General features: G+C 41.9%; 1 protein-coding gene and 1 pseudogene across 5 annotated transcripts in view; both read right to left on the reverse strand.

Annotated features, from left to right (window-relative positions):
- The window catches only part of MAP3K15 (mitogen-activated protein kinase kinase kinase 15), a 155450-nt gene that overhangs the window by 111325 nt on the left and 17097 nt on the right, over positions 1 to 27028 (reverse strand). For all 5 annotated transcript variants that reach the window (XR_007068188.1, NM_001001671.4, XM_011545508.4 and 2 more), the window contains exons 2-3: positions 17445 to 17584; positions 15099 to 15122 (exon numbers count right to left, since the gene is read on the reverse strand). Coding sequence is in view for 4 of the 5 variants with exons in the window: in NM_001001671.4 (NP_001001671.3) it covers positions 15099 to 15122; positions 17445 to 17584 (164 nt within the window). In the remaining variant the exon portion in view is untranslated. The remainder of the gene's footprint in view (positions 1 to 15098; positions 15123 to 17444; positions 17585 to 27028) is intronic.
- EIF5P2 (eukaryotic translation initiation factor 5 pseudogene 2) lies at positions 24983 to 25787 on the reverse strand (annotated as a pseudogene).

Genomic DNA, 27028 nt, shown 5'->3' on the forward strand with positions numbered 1-27028 from the left:
CCTCCTGTGTAGCTGGGATTAAGGCATGCACCACCACACCAGCTAATTTTGTATTTTTAGTAGAGACAGGGTTTCTCCATGTTGGTCAGGCTGGTCTTGAACTCCCAACCTCAGGTGATCCACCCACCTCGGTCTCCCAAAGTGCTGGGATTACAGGCATGAGCCACCGTGCCCGGCCCCAGATATCATTTTTTAAAAAATTAAATCTACATATCCAAGAAGCCAAATGAACTCCAAGTGGGATAAAGGCAAAGAGGTCCACACCCAGATGTGTCAGTTAACTTTGAAAGATAAAGAGTGAAAATCCTGAAAGCAGCAAGAGAAAAATGTTTTGTCATATACAAGAGAATTCCAGTAAGATTAATGTCTGACTTTTCATTAGAAACAACGAAGGCCACGGGATGACATATTCAAAGTGCTGAAAGAAAAAAAAAGTCAGCCAAGAATTTTATATCCACTAAAACTATCTTTCAAAAATGAAGATGAAATATGAACACTTTCAGATCAACAAAAGCTGAGATAATGCTAGCAGACCCATCTTACAAAAATACTAAAGGGGCCGGGCGCGGTGGCTCACGCCTGTAATCCCAGCACTTTGGGAGGCCAAGGTGGGTGGATCACGAGGCCAGGAGATTGAGACCATCCTGGCTAACACAGTGAAACCCCATCTCTACTAAAAAAATACAAAACATTAGCCGGGCGTAGTGGCAGGCTCCTGTAGTCCCAGCTACTCCGGAGGCTGAGGGAGAAGAATGGCATGAACCTGGGAGGTGGAGCTTGCAGTGAGCTGAGATCGCGCCACAGCACTCCAGCCTGGGCCATAGAGCGAGACTCTGTCTCAAAAATAATAATAATAATAATAATAATAATAATAATAATAATAATAAAGAAATTTCTTCAGGCTGAAAGCAAATGACACCAGATAGTAATTTGAATTCACGTGATAAAAAACAAAGAATACCAGTAAAGGTAGTTATGCATGCAATTATAAAAGATAGTATAATTGCAAATTTCCTCTTTTCTTCTCTTAACTGGTTTAAAAAGCAGTTGCAGAAAATGATGTTTATAATCATGTGTTGCGGCTTATACAGAAATGTAATACATTTGAAAATAACAGCAAAAGGATATTGGTAGGAACAAGGCTATATTGGAATAAGGAAATGACACCAAATGGTAACTTGAATCCACAGGAACAAATGAAAAGTATCAGAAATGGTAAATAAAAAGGTTAATATAACTCTCTCTCTCCCCCTACCTACATTCTCTTTTATTCTGTTTCTTTAAAAGACATAATACAAAAATACTTATTACAATTAAATAACCCTGAGCTTCTGTAACAGGTAGGTAAATTGAAGATACAAGAATCTAACCTATTTGTAAAGAATTGTTATATGTCTTACAACTGTCTCCAAAACAAACATTTCTGCTGAAATTTTGACGTTATTCCTTTAGCAAACCTAGTCCTCCCAAATATTACAAGAGTCAACTTTGCCCCAGAGTTCTGATCAAATCCTAAATAATGAGGTGTGAAAAACTGGATTTTGACAAACATGGTAAATGCCATCACAAGTTCTTTGGTGAAAAAGAAATACTGTTCAAGAAGGCAGAGCACTAGCAGCAGAAACTGATGAAGTCTACCCCCCAGTCAGCAGAGGATCTGATCCACGGAGCAAACGTTTAGCCATAGTTAGAGAAAAATAAGGAGAAAGAAAAGAAATGCATGAACTCTGAAACCAGTTGAGTGAGTTTAATGAACAGGACTGAGGAGACAGCAGGAATCCGGAGACTTTGGGAAGGTAAAAATACTTCCTTTGGGAAAGTCTTCCAGAAAGTTTAAGAAATTTGGCAGAAATTGGGACTAACAACTACATTTTAAAAAGGAATTAATAGACTTCCAAGTGAAAGCACAAGCTCTTAAGTACAGTACTTTTGTTCTTACAAAGAGGAAGAATAAACCTAAACATCTTCAAGTGATGGAACACATTCAGACTCTTGTTGGTCAAGAGACCAGAAATTAAAAATAAAAACAATGATTACCATAACACATGTTCAATAGCAAACTAGGATCAGCTATTTGTAGTTGTTACATTTATAAGTGGAAACATCTCAAGAATCCAGCTCATTAAAACAAATTTAACAAACGCAGTTTAGTTTCCTACATAAAGAGGTATTTGAACCAGTATGCTAACCACATTAAAATGTAAAGTCCTATTCTAAACACTCTCCAAATATTTCCAAAACGGTGATTCTGATATAGTAAGTGAAGTCAGAGGCCCAAGGAAAAGCCACTAGTCTCTGACAGCGTGGGGATAGGAAGCGGAGGAATTTTTCCTCTAAAGGTTTTAGTTCCTGACCTAGCAATTGCCATTTCCAGAACTACTACCATCTACAAATATCACCACCATGAAAAGACTGTCCTATGTCATCACTCAATTAAATAATAGGTGCTTTTAATAAGGACTCATTACAAAAGCTTAATTATATAGTCTTAAGTGCCATAATTTTAAATGCCTGCCTAATACACCATCTGGTAAATATATATAGGATACTTAACCATTCTTCTATTGCCTAACTTTGTTTGTTTTGAAATTTCCTTACTGTAAGTGTCACTGAGATGAACATCTTTGCATATGGCATCTTTGTACTGTGATCTTTTCCTAAGGATATCTTCCCAGGAGTAAAATTACTAGAACAAATTTAAGGTTCTTAATATATGTTGACCAAACTGCTGTCATAAAGGATGGAGCAATTTACACTCCCACCCACAGTGTATAAGGGCATGCTAATTTATTCGTCCTCTCAGCTGAACTGGATAGTATTGTTTTTCACATTTGTGAAGTGTGGTGAACAAGAAATACTTTATCAATATAGAAACAAAGTATCATCTCAACTCAAGCATAGCAATGTAGTAAAGAATTCAGAGGGCCAAGGATTGAATTCCAGCTCCATCCCATCCTAAATGGATGACCCTGAAAAATGTACTCATCTATCTAAACCTCAGTTTTCTCATCTTTAAGAGGGAGATGATAATAGTGTCAGCCTCATTAGATGATAGAGGCTTAATCATGGCCATTTTTTTTTGCACAAATATTCTCTATGTGCAATAGTTCTAGAAGGGACTAGGAGTTCTAAACCTGAGATCCAGTCATTCTTGGAGGTTGGGGGGGGGGGTCTGTGAACTTGAAAGAGAAAAAAATTACATCATTGCCATCATTTGCCCTCAACTGAAACATAACATTTCCCTCACTTAGGGAATGTAGGTAACATACCCTAGTAGTAGACTTGAGACTTGAGACTTTGTTGGTAACAGGAGTCACAGACTTTTTCATATCACATTACAGTTCCTGCGGAGATCTCAGAATAACTTTTATGCCCATCACTACTCCAAATATTATGACAGTTTTTAAGATCTGCTGTTTGATCTCATTATTTAAGACATTAGTAAAGAAGCACATAATTATATATAACTTTAAAATATTTTGATAACTGTATTTTGATATGAAGGGTCTCCTTTGTAATTCTTTGTATTTAAACACTTTAAAACAGTGGTCCCCAACCTTTTTGGCACCAGGGACTGGTTTCATGGAAAAAAATTTTTCCACGGACCAGGTGGGCAGGGGCAGGGAGGATGGTTTCAGGATGATTCAAGTGCATTACATTTATTGTGCACTTTATTTCTATTATTATTACATTATAATATATAATGAAATAATTATACAACTCACTGTGATGTAGAATCAACAGGACCCCTGAGATTGTTTTCCTACAACTAGACGGTCCCATCTGGGAATGATGGGACACAGTGAGAGATCATCAGGCATGAGTTTCTCATAAGGAGCACACAAACTAGATCCCTCACATGCATAGTTCACAATAGGGTTTATGCTCCTATGAGAATCTAATGCCGCTGCTGATCTGACAGGAGGCAGCGTTCGGGCGGTAATGCGAGCAATGGGGGAGCAGCTATAAATACAGATGAAGCTTTCCTCGCTCGCTGCTCACCTCCTGCTGTGCGGCCCGGTCGGGTGGCCCAGGGGTTGAGGACCCTTGCTTTAAAACATATTCTGGGAAGGGCCCATAGGCTCCTCCAGACTGGCAAAGGGGTCCCGTGACCCCTAAAAGGCTAAAAACCCCCAATCGTGACTCTTAGATGCTTCACGTAGAACATCCTAACTGCAGGCCTAAAATGTCGGACTTCCTTCAGTGGGCTGCACATATAAAGCTCTCCACGAATAAACAGTGCAAGGCCCATCTGCAAACAGCTTCCTAGATTCTTCAGGACAGCCCAGGAGCAGAGCATGTCAGAGCCTCCACTCAATTGTCCATTGGCTTCAATCATGGCCACTAACTAAGGACACCTAGGATTTGCTCCTCAGCTGGCTCCTCCACAGCTGGAATATTAAAACAAATGAAGCTACGCAATACCTGTGGACTATGTACGCTAATGGCAAACTACTAAAAAATTCCAAGGTTTAATAGATAAAGTAGCCTTGGGGTTGGCTATATTTTCCTTCTTTTCCGCAGGCACCCCATGCAAGGCATCCAAAGGTCCAAGAAGGCCAAGAAAGATATACAAGCCAAGGTCCCTCATTACACCAGCACTTATTTTTATTTATGGCTCACAGCAGGTGGCAAAGCTGGTCAACAGCAGCACAGGGTTTATAAATTAATTCTTTGCAGCAAATATGATATGTCTGAGTTTGTACCAGCGAACTTCATAATGAGACTTGTGGCTTGGCCTTCCAGAAAACATCTTTTATAATGATACAAACATTTAATCAGTCAACAAATGGCCAAGTGAGAAGAGGGAAATAAAGTATCTAAGGCAGATAGAAAGCCACTTAACACTACTCAAGATGAACTGATTTCTGAGCACTTTCAGAAGAATGCACATCTCAACTGGTGGCACAATGTGATACTTTGGAGCTTATATCTTTTAACACAAGTGGGTCACAAATACTTAGTGAAAACCGCAACTGAAAAAACACAGAAGATTGTTCCCAGGAAAATTTAGGGAGCAAATGAACAAATACGGGGCAATGGATTTTTTATATTATTTCATGTGACCAGGTATGACAAAGTTAATTTATTGTAGAAGAAAATCCAAGTTGACACAACTCCAAAAAAGATAAGCTTTAGGCTCAACAGATATAATTATTTGTCTAGCCAGCTAGATACATACATATATACATTGTCCAGAAAAATGCAGTGGTTTTCTTTTTAGAGCAACGCAAATAGCATTCTACACTACTCCTTTTCTCTAATTATCTGGTCATAGGAGGAAAAAAATATTCAGAAACTGTATAACAATTTCAACAGGATAATCAGGATACGGTGCCACTTAAAAGTAAACGAAGATATCCCTGCTGGAAACGTGCCATGGAGTGCTAATTAACCTGTTGTGACAGTTGATTTACTTTGTTTACACAACTGAATGGCCATCACAAAGTCACAGGATTATTTCAGAGCTGGCACAAATCTCAAAAGTCACCTCATTAAAATCATCTCATTTAACAGAGGAAGAAACCAAGACCCAGCAGGTTAACCAACTGGCCTACAGATGACCACGGAGCCAGATAATCTCAGGCCCTACCCCTGTCCTCCCAGGATTCTAGTCATTAACTGCCACTTCTGCTTAATTCTGAAATATCCTTAAATAAAGCTGTACAAAGAACTCAACATAAGCAGATGAGTGAATGGCAAATTCTATGGTCTGTGAATTATGTCTCGATTTAAAGAAAATAGATGGGTGCCATGGATATGAAAGACATATCCAGTTGGCAGGTAGAATTAAATATGAATAATTTGGTTCTGACATTGGCCCTGTGAAATCTGACATTACCCCTCTGATATTCAAGAGGTGCAGAGAAAAGTTTTATGGTTCACAGACCCAGAGTACTCCAATTGAAGAGAACACACAGGACCAAGACCACAGGCAGGAACAACAACAACAACAACAACAAAAAGACAAAAAGACTAACAACCTAAGATGAGGCAGAAATAACAGAACATACAAAAATAAAATAAATATGCAAAGGGGCTGGGCATGGTGGCTCATGCCTGTAACCCCGGCACTTTGGGAGGCCAAGGCCAAGGCAGGCAGATCATCTGAGCTCAGGAGTTCAAGACCAGCCTGGCCAACAGGGTTAAACCCCATCTCTACTAAAAACACAAAAATTAGCCGGGCATGGTGGTGGGCACCTATAATCCCAGCTACTCAGGAGGCTGAGGCAGGAGAATCGCTTGAACCTGGGAGGTGGAGGTTGCAATGAGCCAAGATCATGCCACTGCACTCCTGCCTGGGCAACAGAGCAAGAGTGTTAGAAAAAAAAAAAAAAAGAAGAAAAGAAGGGGAAAAGAAAAGAGAAAAGAAAAGAAAAAGGAATGAAGGAAGAAAAGAAGGAGAGGGAGAAGAAAGAGGGAGGGAGGGACGGGGGGAGAGAGGGAGAGGGAGGGAGGGATGGGGAGAGAGGGAGAGAGAGAGAGGGAAGGACAGGGAGAGAGAGAGAGAGAGAGAGAGGGAAGGACAGGGAGACAGAGAGAGAGAGGGAAGGACAGGGAGAGAGAGAGAGGGAAGGACAGGGAGAGAGAGGGGAGAGGGGGGAGAGAGGGGGGAGAGGGGGGGGAGAGGGGGGAGAGAGGGGGAGAGGGGGGAGAGGGGGGAGAGAGGGGGAGAGGGGGGAGAGAGGGGGAGAGGGGGGAGAGAGGGGGGAGAGAGGGGGAGAGGGGGGAGAGGGGGAGAGGGGGAGAGAGGGGGAGAGAGGGGGGAAGGGGGGGAGGGTAAGGGGGAGAGAGAGAGAGAGGGAAGGAGGGGGAGAGAGAAAGAGGGAGGGAGAGAGAAAGAACCAACTGAGATTTTTACATAATTCATGTTCTGTGAGTAAAATAAAATTCTCCCTATTATGAGATGTAGCTTTCTTGTTTGAAATTGAGTCTTTGCTAATAAAAGTACTAGAAATCTTTTGAACTCAGAAAATCCAAAGGATACAGAAAAGAGAAAAGAAACTTAATTGTCTTTCTACCAAAGCGTCCCTAAGCAATCCATATCATCTTTGATCATTTTGAGTCCTAAGCCATAGGAAACTGAAGGCCTGAGAATGGCAAGAGGAAAAAAACAGGAGAAATTGTTACCCTGACCGAGACCTACACATGTTCCTAAGCCAGAGGAGAGACTTCGAGTATTGAAGACACTGTCTCCAATATTGCCAGTGTCTGTTTTTCAAAGAATTTCTAATTTATTTGGATTATAAAGATAACCATTTTAATGGCAACAATGAGTTTCTCTTAAATCTCACTGGCTTTCCAGAAAAAAAAAATCACCTAAACCAGAGGTCAAGAACCAGATTAGTTTTTTAATAACGTGTTTTTTAATAAGGTTTTTTTTTTTTTTAATAATGTGATCTTAGCTTGGAAATTTAACTCTGCTTTTTAAAAAAACAACTGTGAACTCTGGCTTTAGGACATGACAAATGAAAATAAAGTCCAATGTACTTTTAACAATTCCTTCTGCAAGTGTTGGGTAGAACACCTTGTTTTCTCCCAGTAATTCTCCTGGGGGACAGAGAAGGTGCTTGTCTCCATGGTGCCTCTCTAGCAAGGCTATGCACAGCTTTCAGGTAATTTACCCACCAATTCAGTGGAAAAAAATTATAGCAGTACCTCTAAGCCTTGGAAATGTATTTCTTAGTCTTGGGGTATATATGACACACATACATACACACATTTCTCAAATGAAATAATTATAATGTGGTGGATATGCAGGTATACTACCCAGAACCCCCCAACCCAACCTCAAGGAAGGATGTGTTGCCCCAGTTTCTGGGAGCTCGTTAGGAAGCAGCCCCTTACTGTTAGTCCCTTCTGAACTGTGTCAGTTCCAGAGAGTATCTCATCCAAGCTACATTCCTAGTGATGAAGGACAAATGGAGGAACATAGAGGCCTGGCCATTTCATCCCAACCCAAGACAACTCAGAAAGGCCATTTCAGCTCCAGACCTCCCTCCCAATGTGGTCAGCCAAAGCTGTCATTGAGCCTGCATCTCAGCTGCATGTCTCCCTCTGGCCAGTCCCGCTTCATTTACTCCCCTTCCCCAGCAGCCATCCCAAAGGCATCCCTTAATAAACCTCCTGTACCCTAAACTCAGCCTCAGAGTCTGAGTCTAGAGGAAATCAACCTGCAAAATAAGCTGTAAGTATAAAGGTATGATTATCCTTGCTAAGGAAAATTAAAACAAATGAAGCTACGCAATGCCTATGGACTATGTACACTAGTGGCAAAGTACTAGGAAGTTCCAAGGTTAAACAGATAAAGTAGCCTTGGGGTTGGCTGTATTTTCACTCTTTTACTTTCATAAAGACAGCCTTGATCTGTCACCATATAAACATGTTTTCTCTAAAGTGATAAACTGCAGAAAGTGGCTATCTCTGTCATCTCCAAAGCAGTATAAAATAGTGTAAGAATTAAAATGGATGAAAATACAGGAAAAACCAGAAGCCATTTGTATAGAACTCTGACCAAAAAGTCAATTACATTTTCAACTCAATCAAATACTGAAATATGAAGTGAAATGTAGTGTTGAAGATTTTTGTGACAGGTGTTTTTTTAAAGTCAACCTTGAAAAAGAAATTAAGAAAACAATTCCATTCGCAAGAGTATCCAAAAGAATAAAATACACAGGAGTAAGTGTAACCAAGAAAGTGAAAGACCTGTACATGGAAAACTACAAAATATTGCTGAAATAAATTAAAGAAGACCTAAATAAATGGAAAGACATCCCACATTCACAGATTAGTAGACTTAAAACTATTAAGATGTCAATACCAGCCAAGCAATCTACAGATACGATGCAATCCTTATCAATATTCAATGGCTTTTTTTTTCTCCAGAAATGGAAAAGCTGATCCTCAAATTCATATGGAACTTTGAGAGGCCCCAAATGGCCAAAACAATGTTGAAAAAGAACAAAGTTAGAGGATTCGCACTTCCAAATTTCAAAAATTACTACAAAGCTATAGTAATCAAAATAGTGCAGACTGCAGTGAGCTGTGATTGCACTACTGCACCACAGCTGCGGTGACAGAGTAAGACCCTGTCTCAAAACAAAACAAAAAACAAAGAAAAATAAATTTTTTAAAAAGGGCCGGGTGCGGGCCAGGCACGGTGGCTTGTGCCTGTAATTCCAGCACTTTTGGAGGCCAAGGCAGGTGGATCACCTGAGGTCAGGAGTTCGAGATCAGCCTGGCCAACACTGCAAAACCCGGTCTCTACTTAAAAAAAAAAAAAAAAAAAAAAATTAGCCGTGCGTGGTAGCGGGCACCTGTGATCCCAGCTACTCAGGAGGCTGAGGCAGGAGAATTGCTTGAACCCGGGAGGCAGAGGTTGCAGTGAGCGGAGCCTGTGCACTCCAGCCTGGGCTGGAGTGAAACTCTGTCTCAAAAAAAAAAAAAAGGGCTGGGTATGGTGGCTCATGCCTGTAATCCCAGCACTTTGGGAGGCTGAGGTGGGCAGACTGCTCGAGCCCAGGAGTTTGAGACCAGCCTGGGCAACATGGCAAAACCCCATCTCTACAAAAAATAAAAAAATTAGCTGGGCGTGGTGGTGCACACCTATAATTCCAGGCACTCGGGAGGTTGAGGTGGAAGGAGTACCTGAACCAGGGGAAGTCAAGGCTGTAGTGAGCCATGATCGCACCACTGCACTCCAGCCTGGGTGACAGAGCGAGAACTTGTCTCAAAAAAAAAAAAAAAAAAAAGTTTTAAACCAGTGTGGTATTAGCATAAGAGTAGACACATATGTCAATGGAGTATAATTGAGAGTCCAAAAATAAACCCTTACGTATACAGTCAATTGATTTTGACGAGGGTGGAAAGATGATTCAAAGATGACAAGACAGTTTTTTTTTTTCTTTTTTTTAAGAAACAGTGCTGGGACAACTAGGGATCCAAATGAGAAAGAATGAAGTTGGACATCTACCTCACACCAGACAAAAAAATTAACTCAAAATGGATCAGAGACCTAAATGTAAGAGCTAAAACTATAAAACTTCTAAAAGAAAACATAGGAGTCATACTTCATGACCTTGGTTTGGGCTAAGAGTTCACAGATATACCAAAAGCACGATCCATAAAAGAAATAATTGATAAAACCTCTAATAAGGGCCTTGCTTCCAAAATGTATAGAGAACTCTTACACAGCTTCGTAATAAGAACACAGCCCAATTTTAAACGGGCAAAAGATTTGAACAGACATTTCACCAAAGAAGACTATGAATGACCAATCAGCACATGAAAAGATGCTCAACATTATTAGCCACTAGGGAAATGCAAACTAAAAGTACACTCAGGTATCAGTTCATACTCACTAGAATGGCTATAATAAAAAGACAGATGATATCAAGTATTGGCAAGGATGTGAAGATACTGGACCTCTCACTGCTGGTGGAAATGTAAAATGGTACAGCCACTTTGGAATTGTTTTGACAGTTTCTTAAGAAATTAAAGGTATATTTACCAGCCAGGCACGGTGGCTCACACCTGTAATCCCAGCACTTTGGGAGGCTGAGGCAGGTGGATCACTTGAGGTCAGGAGTTCGAGATCAGCCTGTCCAATATGATGAAATCGCATCTCTACTAAAAATACAAAAAAAATTAGCCAGGCGTGGTGGTGGGCGCCTATAATCCCAGCTACTCAGGAGGCTGAGGCAGGAGAATCACTTGAACCCGGGAGACAGAAGTTGCCGTGAGCCGAAATCGCGCCATTGCACTCCAGCCTGGGCGACAGAGTGAGATTCCAGCTCAAAAAAAAAAAAAAAAAGCCTATATTTACCATATGACTTGGCAATTCCATTCCTAGGTATGTATCCAAGAGGAAAAAAAAAATGTGCCCACACAAAGATTTGCACTCGAATATTCACAGTGGTATTATTCATAATAGCCAGAAAGTAGAAACGATCCAAAAATCCATCTACTAGGGAATGGATAAAATGTGGAATATCTATACAGTAGAATACCATTCAGTAATAAAAAGGAAAGAACTACTGATCCATGCATCCATGATCCTAGTGCATTAAGGATGATCTTCGAAAACATCATCCTAAGTGATAGAAGCCAGATGCAAAAGATCACATATTGTATGGTTCCTTTCACATGAGAAGTCTTGAAAAGGCAAGTCTATAAGACAAAAAGCAGATTAGTTCTTGCCTGGGGCTGGGTGTGGGAAGAGAGATTGTCTGCAAATAAGCATTTTGGGGTCAGGGAAATGCTCTAAAACTAGACTGTGGTACACAACCCACAACTGGCTGCACAATTATGTCATTTATTAAAAATCATTGAATTGTGTGTGCTTAAACTAGGTACATTTTGTGGTATGTAAATTATACCTACATAAAGCATTTCAAAAAAACAAAACAAAACCAGAACACAAGAATATGAGCATCATCTGAAAAAGAGGTGAACACAAAAGGTGATACCATGTTTCCAAAGAGCAAAGAAACCCAGAAGAGCTGCAGGTGGTCCACCCTGAAGTCTGGAGTTTGGCTTCCTGGCCTCGGCATCCCTGCAAAGCAACTGCTCCTAGAAATGGAGACAAATGGCCAGGCAACGTGATCTGTAATCCCAGCTCTTTGGGAGGCCAACGCGGGCGGATCATCTGAGGCCAGGAGTTTGAGACCAGCCTGGCCAACATGGTGAAACCCTGTCTCTACTAAAAAAAAAAAAAATACAAAAATTAGCCGGTCATGGTGGCACATGCCTGTATTCCCAGGTACTCGGGAGGCTGAGGCAGAAGAATCACTCAAACCTGGGAGGCAGAGGTTGCAGTGAGCCAAGATCATGCCACTGCACTCCAGCCTGGGCTACAGGGCAAGACTCCATCTCAAAAAAAAAAAAAAAAAAGAAATGGAGATAAATGTGCCCACTTCGCTGCCACATAAAGCTGAATTCAATACATCATCAAGCACAATTTTATCTTTGTTATTATTATTTTATTACTTTTTATTTTTCCATCTCCCTTTCTGGGTAAAAGTACAATTTTAGAAATATCAAATGACTCCTTGAAAAGAGATCTCAATGCATCTTGGTTTTCACATATTCAGAAATCATTTCAAACACCTGGCTACATGTTCAGGGTGTGGCATCTAATTCGTACCCCTTATTTATAAGACTTCACTGTTCACTAACTATGAGTGTGTGTGTGTGTGTGTGTGTTAATCAAAATCTTTCCAAAATGATCATAAACCCACAATTCCATCAGATTCTGTCTTGGAATCTCTGGGGTCGTATGATCCAGGTGTCTGATTCCAGGGTCACCCCAATCCACATGGAGGGGACAATTGAGCAAATTCTCCTTAGAAGCCACCCAAGTTACTTTGACATTCTATTTTAATGTTTAACCACCATTAGTTGCAAGATGTCCATTCTGCTGATCCAAACCATTTTTCTGTTTACCCTACTTCCATCCCATCTGGAGTGGAAAAAGTAAACGTCTCTTTTCTTTCAGAAAGAGGATAGCATTTGAAGATGACTACTAATGGTACCCCTCAAGGCTTAGTTCCCTTTAGCTTTTCCTCTTAGTGCAATTTTCCACTCATCCCATCACCTGGGATCCTTTTAGTCTTCTGAGTGCTCTAAATTTTCACATCTTGCCAAGCATGACAACCAATACTGGGCACCAAATTCTAACATAATGCCAAATATAGCAAAGAGATTAGCTGCCAAATCCTTTAGAGCAGGGGTCCCCAACCCCCGGGGCCATGGACCAGTACCGGTCAGTGGCCTGTTAGGAACCAGGCCACATAGCAGGAGGTGAGTGGTGGGTGAGCAAGCATTATTGTCTGAACTCCACCTCCTGTCAGATCATTGGTGACATTAGATTCTTACAGGAGTGCAAACCCTATTGTGAACTGCACATGTGAGCGATCTAGGCTGCGTGCTCCTTACGAGAATCTAATGCCTGATAATCTGAGGTCAAGCAGTTTCATCCTGAAACCATCCCCCACCTCTGGTCTGTGGAAAAATTGTCTTCCATGAAACCAGTCCCTGGTGATGAAAAGGTTGGGGACCGCTGCTTTAGAGTAAGTTTATTCCTAAAAAGCAAACAGATACCTAGGAAGAATAGTGCCAAGGTATACTTGGAATTACTAAGAATGTTAAGGAATTCCTGGATGTTTTGGAAGAGGGAGAATGCACCAGGAGGGAGGTATGTAGTGGAATTGTAACAGCGTGACACCAAGTCTCCGGGACGAGAGACTATTTCTGAGTACTGATGCATCCAACAGTGAGGAATGGAGAAAGAAAACGAGTTGTCTTCCTTGCTCCTTGCCTCAACGTAACTCTTGCTGTTTTAAGGAATCAGCATTTCATAGCCATTTCTTGCATTAAATCCAGGTTACATCTTTTTGCTTGTATAACAAATATGGAACTACAGATGTTGAGGGCTAGAAGGTATCAATGAGCAAAACAGCACAGTTCAACATTTCTCATTTTATTGCTGAGGATCCTGAGGCCTAGGCAGGGGTGGAACAACTGACTGCCCAGTGTTACTTAGAGACAGGGCTGCGGCTACAACTGCACCTCCTGGGCCTCAGGCCCAATCTCCTTCGACTTCTTCCCCATTTCTCCACAAATTAGGTAATTTTAAAAATCAAGGCTGGGTGAGGTGGCTCACGCCTGTAATCTCAGCACTTTAGGAGGCCAAGGCAGGCAGATCACTTGAGGTCAGGAGTTCAAGACCAGCCTGGCCAACATTGGGAAACCATGTCTCTACTAAAAGTACAAAAATTAGCCAGGCGTGGTGGTAGGCGCCTATAATCCCAGCTACTCAGGAGGCTGAGACAGGAGAATCGCTTGAACCCTGGAGGCAGAGGTTGCAGTGAGCCAAGATCACACCACTGCACTTCAGCCTGGCTGACAGAGCGAGACTCTGTCTCAAAAAAAAAAAAAAAAAAAAAAAAAAAAAAAGTCAAGCTCTAGGAAGAACAGGAAAGACTCTTACAAGTGGACAACATCAGCATGTAAATGGGACCAAAAAAAGTCACACCTGATCCCATTTCTTTTCCAAAAGGAATCTAAAACCACCGGATGCCTTATCTTACAGGCCTGCTTGTAAAATTCATGCTCCAATAGTAATCACGTGCACTATACCACGTGCTCTGTTTCTGAAACTTATGTCTCAGGTGGGGAGCTCTGTCAGGGTCCTGGGGAAGCCTGGGCCCCCAAGCTGCAGGTTGGGGACTTCTGCAGAGGGCGCCCAGGGGAAAGCTTTGCCTCCTGGGCCCTTTTCTCCCTCTCCTAGGAACTCCAACTGGAATAGGAAGAGAGTCTGTAGGCCTGTTCCTTCTAGAAGAGCTAGCAGGAAGGAGACTAAGGCTGTAAGGTGGGGGACCAAGGGCCTGTCCTGAGTCTAGGTCACGGTTTCTCAAACCACAATGCCATAGGTCTGGAGGGATGGGCAGCTTGGAGTGCACTCAAGGGTACAGGATAACCTTGGCAACATTTCCAAGGCCAAGATCCTTTTAAAACATTTTTAGGGTGGTGATTTCATTATACTATTCAAACCAACGTGGCAATAAAACTATGTAATTTCAGGAACTTTTAAGCCAAATCAGGAGACTTCAGTACATAAATGGGACAGAAGGAAGTAGAATTCCATCCCACTTCTTTTCCGTTTGTGGCAAGAAACTTTTGCCCCATATTAACTGGCATACAACTTCACGTTCCTCCATCATTAGGGAAACTCTGCTTGGGAAGTATGGGAGGTATTGACTCCAGCAAAACGATTACTGGTGGTCCATGGAACATCGACCCAGATCAGAAGGAGTCACCCAGAAGGTTACAGCTCAAAGTCCCAGCAGGTAATGAAGAACATACACTTTCTTGCCTGGCCTTGCCTTGCCTTCTGGCCCACTGCCTCAATGGCTGAGTGGGGCCTGGGGCCGGCCGGTTGAGGCATAGGGAGATTTCTAGCTGTCCTCCTTAGAAACACAACCCACAGGCGTGATTAGAAGTCATCTTGCTACCTGGGCGATTTTCAGGCAAGCATTTTACAAATTGACATTTACATTTAATTTCAGAATTAAAATTCTGAAAATGTTAATACTTACTGTGTTTTTTTGAGTTACCATGTCCTGAAAAGAAAAAGAAAAGATGAATATAGCTTTTTGTAAAACAGCTAATTTCCATAAGCATTAGCCAGCACTCCCCTCTATAAAAGAAATTAATCATGTAAGAATTAATCACATAAAAGCACCCACCTTAGAGCAAGAATTAATCATGTGAAACCTCCCTCTCCAAAAGCTTCAAACACAATGAACCTCTGAATTGCAACATTGATATTCCAAAGAAAATTGATCACCACTGGTTAGTCTCTGGAACTATTAGGGGGCATTTATAAGGATTTCCCCAGAACAGGGCCAATGCTTTTGCCCAAAAGATATTTTGAGCTTCAAGTTTGGGGTGCTGAGTGCCCTGCATCTTGCCTTCCCAGAAAAGAATGTCGGCGATAGCAAGAAAGGGCCCAGAAGGCACCGTGCTATCCCCGGATCTGGAACCACTTCCTGAATCAATCAATGTGAAGGCCACACCACAGTCAGCCTTCCTACAGAAGGGGTGTTGGTAGTAGAATTCCTGACACCCTGCTACAACTGTCTAGGAATGTTCAAATTCAATGACAACAATTCTAGTCAGTAAATTTAGTATGATAATTAGGCAGCCTTTGACTGTCTCATTTACGCACCAACATTTCTGGGGGTGGGGGGGGGGAAGGGCGGAGAAAACACCATAACTAAACAGCTGCCCTGTAAAACATGTTTTATATATTCTCAGATTTTTATTTCCTGATAACAAGTGCAAACTGCTTCTTCTGGTGTTAAATATAACTGACTACCCATTTCCATTTTAGGAAATATTTTTCTGTATTATTAAAAATTAAAACATCTAGTCCATTGAACTTTCCAGAGGGCTTTGCTAAGGCACAGTTGAAGAAACTGTCCTAAATTGAAAAAAAAATTCTAATTTCATGTTTTTCATCAAAATATAGGTTAATAATCTATATCTTTCATACTTGCTAAGTTCTAAATATTCCTAAGCATAGCTACCTTGGTGAAAATCAGTAAAAGAAAAGGTCAATATCTAACTATCTAATGTAATTCACATTGGTTTATAGCCCTGGGGAAACTATTCTACAATGTAAAGTACACTAATAAAAGTTTCTTCTTTCACTGTCATACAAATGACTTATTAAAATACAGTATTTTGCCATAATTACTGAGTACATATCTATGTAAAGTATATATGATGTTTAGCACATACAAGTTACACATCTCAAGCAGGTGGTATTTCTACCAGGAAATAATCTCAAATCCTTACACAACCCAGAAAATCTAGTTAATATTAAATCTCAAGAAACACAATGAAAATGTCCAACTTTGGCATAAAATTGTACTACTATCTACCAGTGATTTTTAATACTGAGGGAACTGAACCTTTAGAAATGATGTCTGTGAAGGCTGACTCTCCAAACCATTGGTTCTCACCCATGGTTGCACATTTGGGAGGTTAAAAAAATCTCCGTGCCTTGGTCCCAACCCCCATCCCCGAGACTGTGATGTAATTGGTCTGGGGTGGGGCCTAGGCATGGGGATATTTACAAGCTCTCCCAGTAATTCTGAAGTGCACTCAAGGCCGAGAAGCACTGCTATAAACAAACTAATTCATTATTCCTAAAATGATTTAACATAGGCCAGGATTTTCTGACTAAAATATTCAACAATATCAATATCCACTGAATTTTGGAATAACTCATGTTAAACATTTCCACTATACAAATGCAAGCATTTTTTAAAAAAATACTATGTTACCCAAAAAAGCTTGTCTCAAACTTGCAAAAATACATTTTAGAAATTCTCAACCATGATTGAGTTGTGCAGGAACACACACGTTTTCAGTTTTGCTTTGCTTTCAGACTGGGGGAAAATAACATCAAAGACTAATTGTGTCTATACTAAAATATTCTGTCCATTTCGGTAACTGTTCAATGTCTTCATATTATTATCCAAGTTGAGAACTGATTTTTATGTGTAGGTTTGGATCCAATTGCTCATGAAGGAATTCAGAACTGATTTTTATGTGTAGGTTTGGATCCAATTGCTCATGAAGGAATTCGGGACAGTGTGTTTGCTTCAATGGAAACTAATAGGAGTGTTTGCCTCCACTTCCCTAACGAGCCCGGAAATGCCCAAGTTGCCTGCAAACGTACGACTGTAGCACAGATGCTCACGAAGTAGCCAGGAAGTCATCTGTGTGAACTAGAATCTGTGGTGGGAAGGAAAGAATTGCACAAGCAAGTCTTTGTTTTTCTCCAACTTCCTGTGCTACTGTGGCATTTCAGCTAGACATATAATTCTGCTTTCCCAAAACAAAGTACTCAGGAGAAGGTGAATACACTGTACCTTCAAAGAGAGAGCAGTGTCGGCATCGGTGTCATGGTACAAGATCACATTATTGGCCATGTCAAAGCTTTCTCGGACTCCAAGATGGTAGAAGAGGGAAGGCTGTCTGGAGACATCGCTCATGTCTACCACAGCAACATCTGCAATGAACAAGGAGAGGACAGGATTAGGGGAGATGATCTGTCTACTTCATCTACTCACTGGTGATCACCAGTGAGGAGCTATAGCAATGTGTATTTCTGTCATCAGCCTGTTAGGTAAAGTAAGGAATGATTTGATTAAAATTACCCTATGAACTGTGGAAGAAATGCAGTAAGAATTTTTTTTAATCCTCTTTCTTCTTCAAAGTGCTGGGAATGTAACCTCACTTAGAACTTGCTGATGGATTTTTAATGTTATTTTTGTTATGACATATCACACATCTGAAGAATATATTTAGCTTATATATGAGGCATAAAGTATAATGCAACGAAAAACCATGTACCTTCTGTGCAGCCCAAGTCAGAGGGTTACCTGCACTCAGGGTCCCATGTGCCCCTCCCTGATCACATCTCCTCCCTCCTGCCCAGAGAGCATTTCTGTCCGGATCTATGTATTTGTCAGTTCCACGCACGTGTGTGTGCGCTATAGAATGAACGTTTGTGTCCCCTCAAGGTTCATGTGTTGAAACCTATCCCCCAATATGATGGTACCTGAAGATGAGGCCTTTGGGAGGTGATTAGGTCATGAGGATGGAGGCCTCATAAATTGGATTAGTGCACTTATAAAAGAGACTCCGGGGAGCTGCTTTCCCCCTTTCATCATTCCAGGACACAGGGAGAAGGTCCTGTCTGTGAACTAGAAAGCAGGTCCTCACCAGACAATGAGTCTGCCGCCACCTTGATGTTGGACTTCCTAGTCTCCATAATTATGAGAAATAAATTTCTGGCTGGGTGCAGTGGCTCATGCCTGTAGTCCTAGCACCTTGGGAGGCCAAGGCAGGTGGACCACCTGAGGTCAGGAGTTCGAGACCAGCCTGTCCAACATAGTGAAACCCCGTCTCTACTAAAAATACAAAAATTAGTTGGGCGTGGTGGCAGGTGCCTGTAATCCCAGCTACTCGGGAGGCTAAGGCAGGAGAATCGCTTGTACCTGGGAGGCAGAGGTTGCAGTGAACTCAGATCGTGCCACTGCACTCCAGCCTGGGCAACAGAGTGAGACTCTGTCTCTAAATAAATAAATAAATTTCTGTTGTTTAGAAGCCATGCCCAGGCATTATGTTACAGCAGTCCAAACAGACTAAGACAATACGTACAGGCATGTATAGGCATTATACACACACACACACACACACACACACACACACACACACACACACATACATACAAAAATTCCTTAACAGTATATTGCTCAGTTTTGCATGTCTTTGAACTTCATATAAATGGTATTGCATTGTATGTATTCTTCAGCTTGCTATTTTTTGGTGGCATTCAACCAATTTGTGCGTTTAGCTCCAGTTCATACGTTTTCGCTTCTGTATAGAATTCTGTTGTGACAGATTTTTATTCATTTCCTATTTCACACTGCTGCAATAAACAGTCCTGTCATAGCTCCTGGCTCACATGTCTACCATCAACTTAACAACATATAACGTGCCCTGGCTGGGCGCAGTGGCTCATGCCTGTAATCCCAACACTTTAGTTGGCCGAGGTGGGCAGAATGCTTGAGCTCAGCAGTTCAAGACCAGCCTGGACAACATGGCGAAACCCCATCTCTATAAAAAATACAAAAAATTAGCCGGGTGTGGTGGTGCGTGCCTGTAGTCCCAGTTATTCAGGAGGCTAAGGTGGGTGGATGGCTGGAGACTGGGAGGTCGAGGTTGCAGTGAGCTGTGATCATGCCACTGCTCTCCAGCCTAAGTGACAGAGTAAGACCTTGTCTCATAAACTAAAAAAAAAAAAAAAATAAAATGCACCCTGGAGTTGCACCCTGTAATAGAGACCTATTCAAAACAGAGGAGCAACTTATTACATGAATAATGAGCATGTTTAAATTACGCTTAGTAGTATGGGGCACCGTTTTAAAACTCAAAACATTCTAGAGGATGTAAGAGTTCCAAGTTTGATGGGAGCTTCCTTACCATGTGCAGTGGAGATATAGGAATGTAGTGTCCAAACTCATGCTCGCACTGCTGTGACTTCTAGAAAGTCACTCAAAATCCCGATGGGACACAACAGAGGCCAGTTGAACAAGGGCGTGAAGAAACATGAAGGCAGGCAGGCAGCATATCAGCACCAGACACCGCTAGCTCTGTAGAGAGGCGCTGGGAACCTGAGGCCAAGTGCCACTAAGCCCCAGAGTGGGCCCTTTATTCTCTTATTTATGGATTGCCTGCTGTATGGCAGGATTCTGATGGGTGCCAGGGATAGAAGTGTCAACAGGGCATAATCACTTTCCTCAAAAGAAAAAACCAACTACAATACAATGTGGGTAACCAGAAGGAAGGGGATGGTTAGGATCACCATGAGGGCAGCCAAAATAAGGGAAACAGTGAACAGAGCACCCCCAGGAGGGCACATAATCCACACCTGAGCGGAGGGCAATCACAGAATGCCTGGAGGAAGGGATACTGTCCATGACCTGAGGCTCTGTAAGAGTCAGGCAGGCAAATGGGATGAGGATATGGGGGATCAAAGGGAAGGAAAGAGCGGTGCATTAACAGAAGCCAGCTAGTGCAAGGGGCCAGCAGCAAGCCAGGGTGTAAGTGTGAAGGCCACCCACATATCACTTCCTGGGGCCACAATACCCCAGAAAACGAGCCTGGAGGTGGAGGGCTGGACCTTCCTTGAGGCAATGGGAAACCTATGGTTGGGTTTTTTAACTTTTTATTTTTACTTACTTATTTATTTTTGAGACAGAGTCTCAAAAATGCATGGGTACGATCTCGGCTCACTGCAACCTCCACCTCCCAGGCTCAAGCTATTCTTGTGCCTTGGCCTCCAGAGTAGCTGGGACTACAGGCATGTGCCACCATGCCCGGCTAATTTTGTCGTATTTTTAGCAGAGATGGGGTTTCACCACGTTGGCCAGGCTGGTCTCAAACTCCTGACCTCAAGCGATCCGCCCACCTCAGCCTCCCAAAGTGCTGGGATTACAGGCGTTAGCCACTGCACCTGGCTACTTTTTTTTTTTTTTTTAAACAGAGATGGGGTCTCACTCTGTTGCCCAGGGTGGTCTTGAACTCCTGGGCTCAGGCAATCCTCCCACCTCGGCCTCTTAGAGTGCTAGGATTACAGCTGTGAGCCACTGCTCCTGGCCTCTTTAAAACTTTTTATTATGCAGAACTACAAATATACATAAAAAGTAGACAGAATAGTATAATGAAATCTCCATACCTCCCACCTCAACAACGATCAACTCAAGGCCGGCTTTGTTTCATCTTTACTACCATCCGCAACATCCACCCCTCCCTCCCTGTGTTATTTTAAAATAAATCCCACCAGACACCACGTTGTTTTATCCCCCAATATTTCAGGATATATCACTAAAAGATGAGAACTCAAAGAAAAAAATAACCATAGTATCAATGTCTCACCTAAAAATATTTTTAAATAATCAAGAGAGTTTTTTAGCAGGAGACTCTCAGAGTCAAATTTACCCTTTAGAGGTCATCTACTAATGAAAGGATGCACGTCTATACTGAGGAAACACTCTACAACCCAGCCTCATCAATTTCTCTCAAATGGGTAATTCCACTCCCCAAAGACATTTGCTTAGAGTCAAGATAATGCGCCACTGCAGCTGAGTAAATTAGACATTCTGCCTATAGGATTGCTTCCTGGACTCTTACTTATCTACATTAAAAATTATATGTTTCAGGCCGGGCGCGGTGGCTCACGCCTGTAATCCCAGCACTTTGGGAGGCGGAGGTGGGTGGATCACCTCAGGTCAGTAGTTTGAGACCAGCCTACCCAACGTGGTGAAATCCCGTCTCTACTAAAAATACAAAAAATTAGCTGGGTGTGGGGTGGGCGCCTGTAATCCCAGCTACTCGGGAGGCTGAGGCAGGAGAATCACTTGAACCTGGGAGGAGGCGGTTGCAGTGAGCCAAGGTTGCACCACTGTACCCCAGCCTGGATGACAAGAGCGAAACTCTGTCTCAAAAGATTTTTTTTAAAATTACATGTTTCATAGTGATGTTATGAAAAAGTAGCAACATAGATATTAATTCCAAGGCCATGGTGACTGTTATAATTAGTTAATAAAGGCAAGGAAGCAAATAGAAACAGACAAAGGGGAATAGCGGAACGGGGCAGAAGGGAGGATAGGGACAGTAGTCCCGAAGTCACACAGCCCATTTTCACAGGCAACCTTGAACGTGGCAGAGGAACTTGTTGCCAAGATTCCATTTTGATCAAGTGACATGAAGTCCTCCCTTCTTTGCCTTCTCAACATTCTGTGCTGGGACCCACCGGCCTACCAAGGATTGGGAGAGACTTTTCACTGTCAATGAAAACAGGACATATTAATACTGCTACTCAAAAAAAAAAAAAAAAAAAATTCTGAGCAATTCATGTTCAATAGGAAAACTGCCTCGAATCTAAAGTTGGAATTTTTGCCTGACATTTGTCACTCAGGCCAGTAGACTAAGTTCACTTTGAGGATTTATACCAAAATAGTATGCAACTGGCTTATTTTCAGAATTCCTAAAACACGAATTTAGCATCTGATTTATAAATTGTTAATTGTAATAAAACACCAGATTGGAACTTTTATTCTATACAAAGAAAAAAGGGCTTTATCCCTAAAGAGAGCACCAGTTACCTAAAACCTTTCATCATCACCGTGGTCACATGCTTTGCCATTTACAAAACACTTCCACAGACTTCTCAGTTGAATTTCAGAACCCCAGCAGGCAGGCAGGGCAAGCACTGGCTTCACTAAGCAGGTAGAAAAATGAAGTGCAAAGAGGTTAACAGACTCGCCCAAGGTCGCTCAAGTACAGCATGAACAAGTCAGGGCTCAAAATCAGCTTTTCCAACCCCAAGTCCTGTGTTCCCCGATGCCCTCATGAGGCTTAGTACATTCCTGACACACTGTGTAAAACTGAGCTACCTGGGGGCAAAACAAATTTATATATCAGGCTAAATCTTAAGCAAAAAGATCACAGATAAAAAGGAAGAGATAAAATTCAGATTTTCATTCCCAAATACACCCTGTGCTCCTAGCAACCATTACCTTTCAGTTCCTACTGACGCAGGCCAGCTTCAGGGAAAAAAAAAACACATATCATATAAACCATCTTTTCTGACCCTGAGGCAGGCACACACACCCACCCTACCTATCTTGGTTTAGCAAACTTTAAGAAGTGATACCAGGCATGGTGGCGTGTGCCTGAAGTCCCAGCTACTCTGGAGGCTGAGGCAAGAGGAGCACTTGAACCTAGAAGTTCAAGTCCAGTCTGGGCAACATAATGAGACTCTGTCTTTTTAAGAGAGAGAGAGAGGAGGAGGGAGAGAGATACTACATCAAGGATTTGCAAAAAGCCAAGGTTCCAGTTGAAATCTATGCTTAGCAGGAAAGTGTAATTTAAAAACCAGTTACAATGACCTCAAGCAGGAGGTCAATTACAAGGACCTTGAAACACGCTAGTGTTAAATAAGAAAGATGATGCATAGGACTTTAGTTCGTTGAAAACTTTTGAACACTATCTTGAATACTATTTTTGCTAAATGTTTTATGGGTAATACATAAAACTATAATTTTCTAGTGTGGTTTAAAAGTATCTGATTTCTGAAGCAAAGCATTAGTCAACAAAGTGATATGATGGCAAATGATTTACCATATAGTAATTCTGTGACTGTACTGGCTCATACCAGTCTTTAAATATATACCAGGTTATCCTTAAGTCTATCTAACTCCCTGCAGAAAAAAAAGAAATTATGAAAGTAAGTAAGACTGGCTTTGTCAAAATGAAAAGCGCTAGACTTCAGAATAAGTTTTTGGCCAAAGACTTCAAAACAAAAATTGGATTGGACATATGACAACACTAGCTACCTAAAAGCTACCTTTAAAAAAAAAAAAAGCCCAGATATACTGGACAGAAGGCACCTCTCCTAACTCCTACCATAATTTAGATCTTACTTATCCACTGCTGCTTATTTCCAACATACTCAGGTCAAGTCAGTGAAGAAAGTTGTGAAGTGTTTTGTTTGTTTGTTTTGAGATGGAGTCTTGCTCTGTCGCCCAGGCTGGAGTGCAGTGGTGCAATCTTGGCTCACTGCAACCTCCACCTCCTGGGTTCAAGTGATTCTCCTGCCTCAGCCTCCTGAGTAGCTGGGATTATAGGCATGCACCACCATGCCTGGCTAATTTTTGTATTTTTAGTAGACACGGGGTTTCCCCATGTTGGCCAGGCTGGTCTTCAGCTCCTGACCTCAAGTGATCTGCCCACCTCGGCCTCCCAAAGTGCTGGGATTACAGGCATGAGCCACCGCACCCAGCTTGAAGTGTCACTTAAATCTTATTTTCCAATCTCATAAGAAGGAGCCAATATACCAATTCAGTGTTAGGACATCAGCAAGTCCTTACCAAGTGTCATAGTGAGTGGTACTCGTTGCCTGGGGGATCGAGTTTTAACTAGGAGGAAGGAGGGGAGGCGTGAGGACATCAGGAAACTACCTGGCCTATCTTTTGCTTCCCAGTATCAAATTTTTTTGTAAGAATGACTGAAAGTAAATCTTTTGTTTTTTTTTCAACTATGTAAGTGTGATTGAGATGTGTCTACTACCAGTTTTTCCAAAAGAAATGCAGCACATATATGCCAACTACGTTTTACTCACTGAGGTGAATGGGCTCAATGGGCTTAATTTGAGACCACTCAAAGTGAAATATTTGCAATATACATTATAGCATGAGTTAAGCCACTTCATCTTTTGCAAATACATATTGTTCTTCCATCTGACAATACAGAAAAATATGCAGCATGATACTGCAAGCTAGACTGCATTCATCACTTTAAATGCTATCAATATTGTTACTTAGGAGGCTGAGGCAAGAGGATCGCTTGAGCCCAGGACTTTGAAACTGCAGTGAGCTATGATTGTGCCACTGCACTCCAGCTTAGGTGACAGAGTGAGACCCCATCTCTAAAAAAATAAAAATACATGGGTATTGATATCATTGTCATCATCCTTGCTGTCACACCCTTCACAGCTCCAACTCTGGGTTCCCTGGCAGCCAGTGAACACATCACCCCAATTTTTTTTTTTTTTTTTTGAGATGGAGTCTTGCTCTGTTGCCCAGGCTGGAGTGCAGTGGCATGATCTCAGCTCACTGCAACCTCCATCTCCCAGGTTCAAGCGATTCTTGTGCCTTAGCTTCCTGAGTAGCTGGGACTACAGGTGTGCACCACCACGCCAGGCTAATTTTTGTATTTTTAGTAGAGACAGGGTTTCGCCATGTTGGCCAGACTGGTCTTGAACTCCTGACCTCAAGTGATCCACCTGCCTCGGCCCCCCAAAGTGCTGGGATTACAGGCTTGAGCCACCACGCCTGGCCACCATCCCATTATTTTCATCTTCGTCATCTGAAGATTCCTCTTCAGCTTTCCTCAACCCTTTTCTAAAGGGAACGCTTTAACATGACTCTCTGTAGCAAAATTTTTGGAGACACATTCTGAGAAGCCTTTTCTGACCAGCAGATAGCAACCTCTTCTTTCAAAAGGTCTGTGTCACACATCACCTTCAAACTGTGCGCAATTCTAGAGTGGTGCAGAGTTTGATGTACTCCAGCCACACGCTGCAGACCCTGACAAGGGCACCGCTGAGCTTTCCTGTTACTGTGACAAAAATCACAGTAAGTAGCCCCTGCATTTCTTAATTAGGTCTTGTTAAAATGAATGTCAGCCGGCTCGAGGGAACCATCGCTTTTACATATACTCCTCCCACAATAATACACTCTTTCCTTAACAAAATCAACAGCTCCTTAAAGATCATCACTAAGCATCCGGACTTCTGCCTGGCTGCTGATTTCACCCATTCTGTGCTCTACGTTTCCTCAGCAGTATCTGTCCCCTACGCTTCCTCAGCAGTATCTGTCCCCATAGCCTGTGGGAGTGGTGACTCATTGCTAGATACAGGGGCCATGTTGCTTGGAACTTGCCCCTTCTAATTTCCTTTTTTTCATGTACCAATTTCCTTTTTCGTAGGTGGTCCTTTGAGAAGGGATGTGCAGAGTTTATGATCTGCATCAAGCACTCCATAGCCAGACAGTGCTTTACAAAAACTTATCTATTTGCTTCTTAGCAATGATAAGCACATTGGATGCAGTATTCTCATTCTCAGGATAGATAATACTTTTTTTTTTTTTTTTGAGATGGAATCTCACTCTGTTGCCCAGGCTGGAGTGCAGTGGCATGATCTCGGCTCACTGCAACCTCTGCCTCCCACGTTCAAGCGATTCTCCTGCCTCAGCCTCCCGAGCAGCTGGTATCACAGGCATGCGCCACCACGCCTGGCTAATTTTTGTATTTTTAGTAGAGATGGGGTTTCATCATGGCGGTTAGGCTGGTCTCAAACTCATGACCTCAAGTGATCCGCCTGCCTCAGCCTCCCAAAGGGCTGGGATTACAGGCATGAGCCACCACACCTGGCCCAGATAACACATTTTTAAAATAAACTCATCTAACAAGTCTTAAAACTTTAGCCTTGTGAGAGCCAATGACAATCATTGTGAACATCAAAATGGTCTTTGCTTCCAGCTCAACCAAAATATTTGGTGGGATTTACTGGAGACCAATGAAGCACTTTTACAATATCAACAATTTTCATTTCCTTTTTGTCCCATTTATTCTACATTTCTTTTACTCTCAATATTAATGGCCATACAAGGTATCTTGTATGGCTAGAACTGGGCTGATGCAACATGGCTGGCATTAGGATATCCTGGTGCATTAGTAAGCATTGTCGATAAGATGCAGAGATATTTTATTATATTCTGATTACTACTACTACATGACAAAACACCTCAAAATCAAGTGGCACAAGTTTGCGTTCCTCTGCACAGGACAAGGAATGGGGTTAGGATGCAATCTTCAACCTCAGAATTTTGAAAACTTTCCTTACAACCTGCAGGCATATAAAGCAACCCCACTACATGATAACTGCCCAAGGGATCTGAGCCCTGCATTTTTTATTTAACTAAATAACTTTGCTGCTTTTAAATAATGTATAAAAAGAATATATACTAACAAGTGAAATGTGATAAATGGAAATGTATACTGATCGATACCATTAATTTAAACATAAAAGCAAGCTTTGGCATGTATCATATATTTCCTAATGTAGTTATTCCAATAAACTAGTTTAAATTATGGAAACATTAACTTAATACTTTGTGAAAAAGTTCACACACCGGGTTTCAGCAATTTATTATTTCACAAAGCACATTTCATTCTACACTGGGGTTCTGGTATGTTTATTGATGGGGGTCAAGGGGAGTGGTGCAGGTGGGGGAGGGTGCTGACATTTACTGAACACTTACTAAGTTCAAGGCACAGACTTTGAATCTCTACACAGGGGTCTTTTTAAATGAGGCTCAGAGAT

Source organism: Homo sapiens, chromosome X (assembly GCF_000001405.40).
Source record: "Homo sapiens chromosome X, GRCh38.p14 Primary Assembly".
In the NCBI taxonomy this organism is placed as follows: Eukaryota; Metazoa; Chordata; class Mammalia; order Primates; family Hominidae; genus Homo; species Homo sapiens.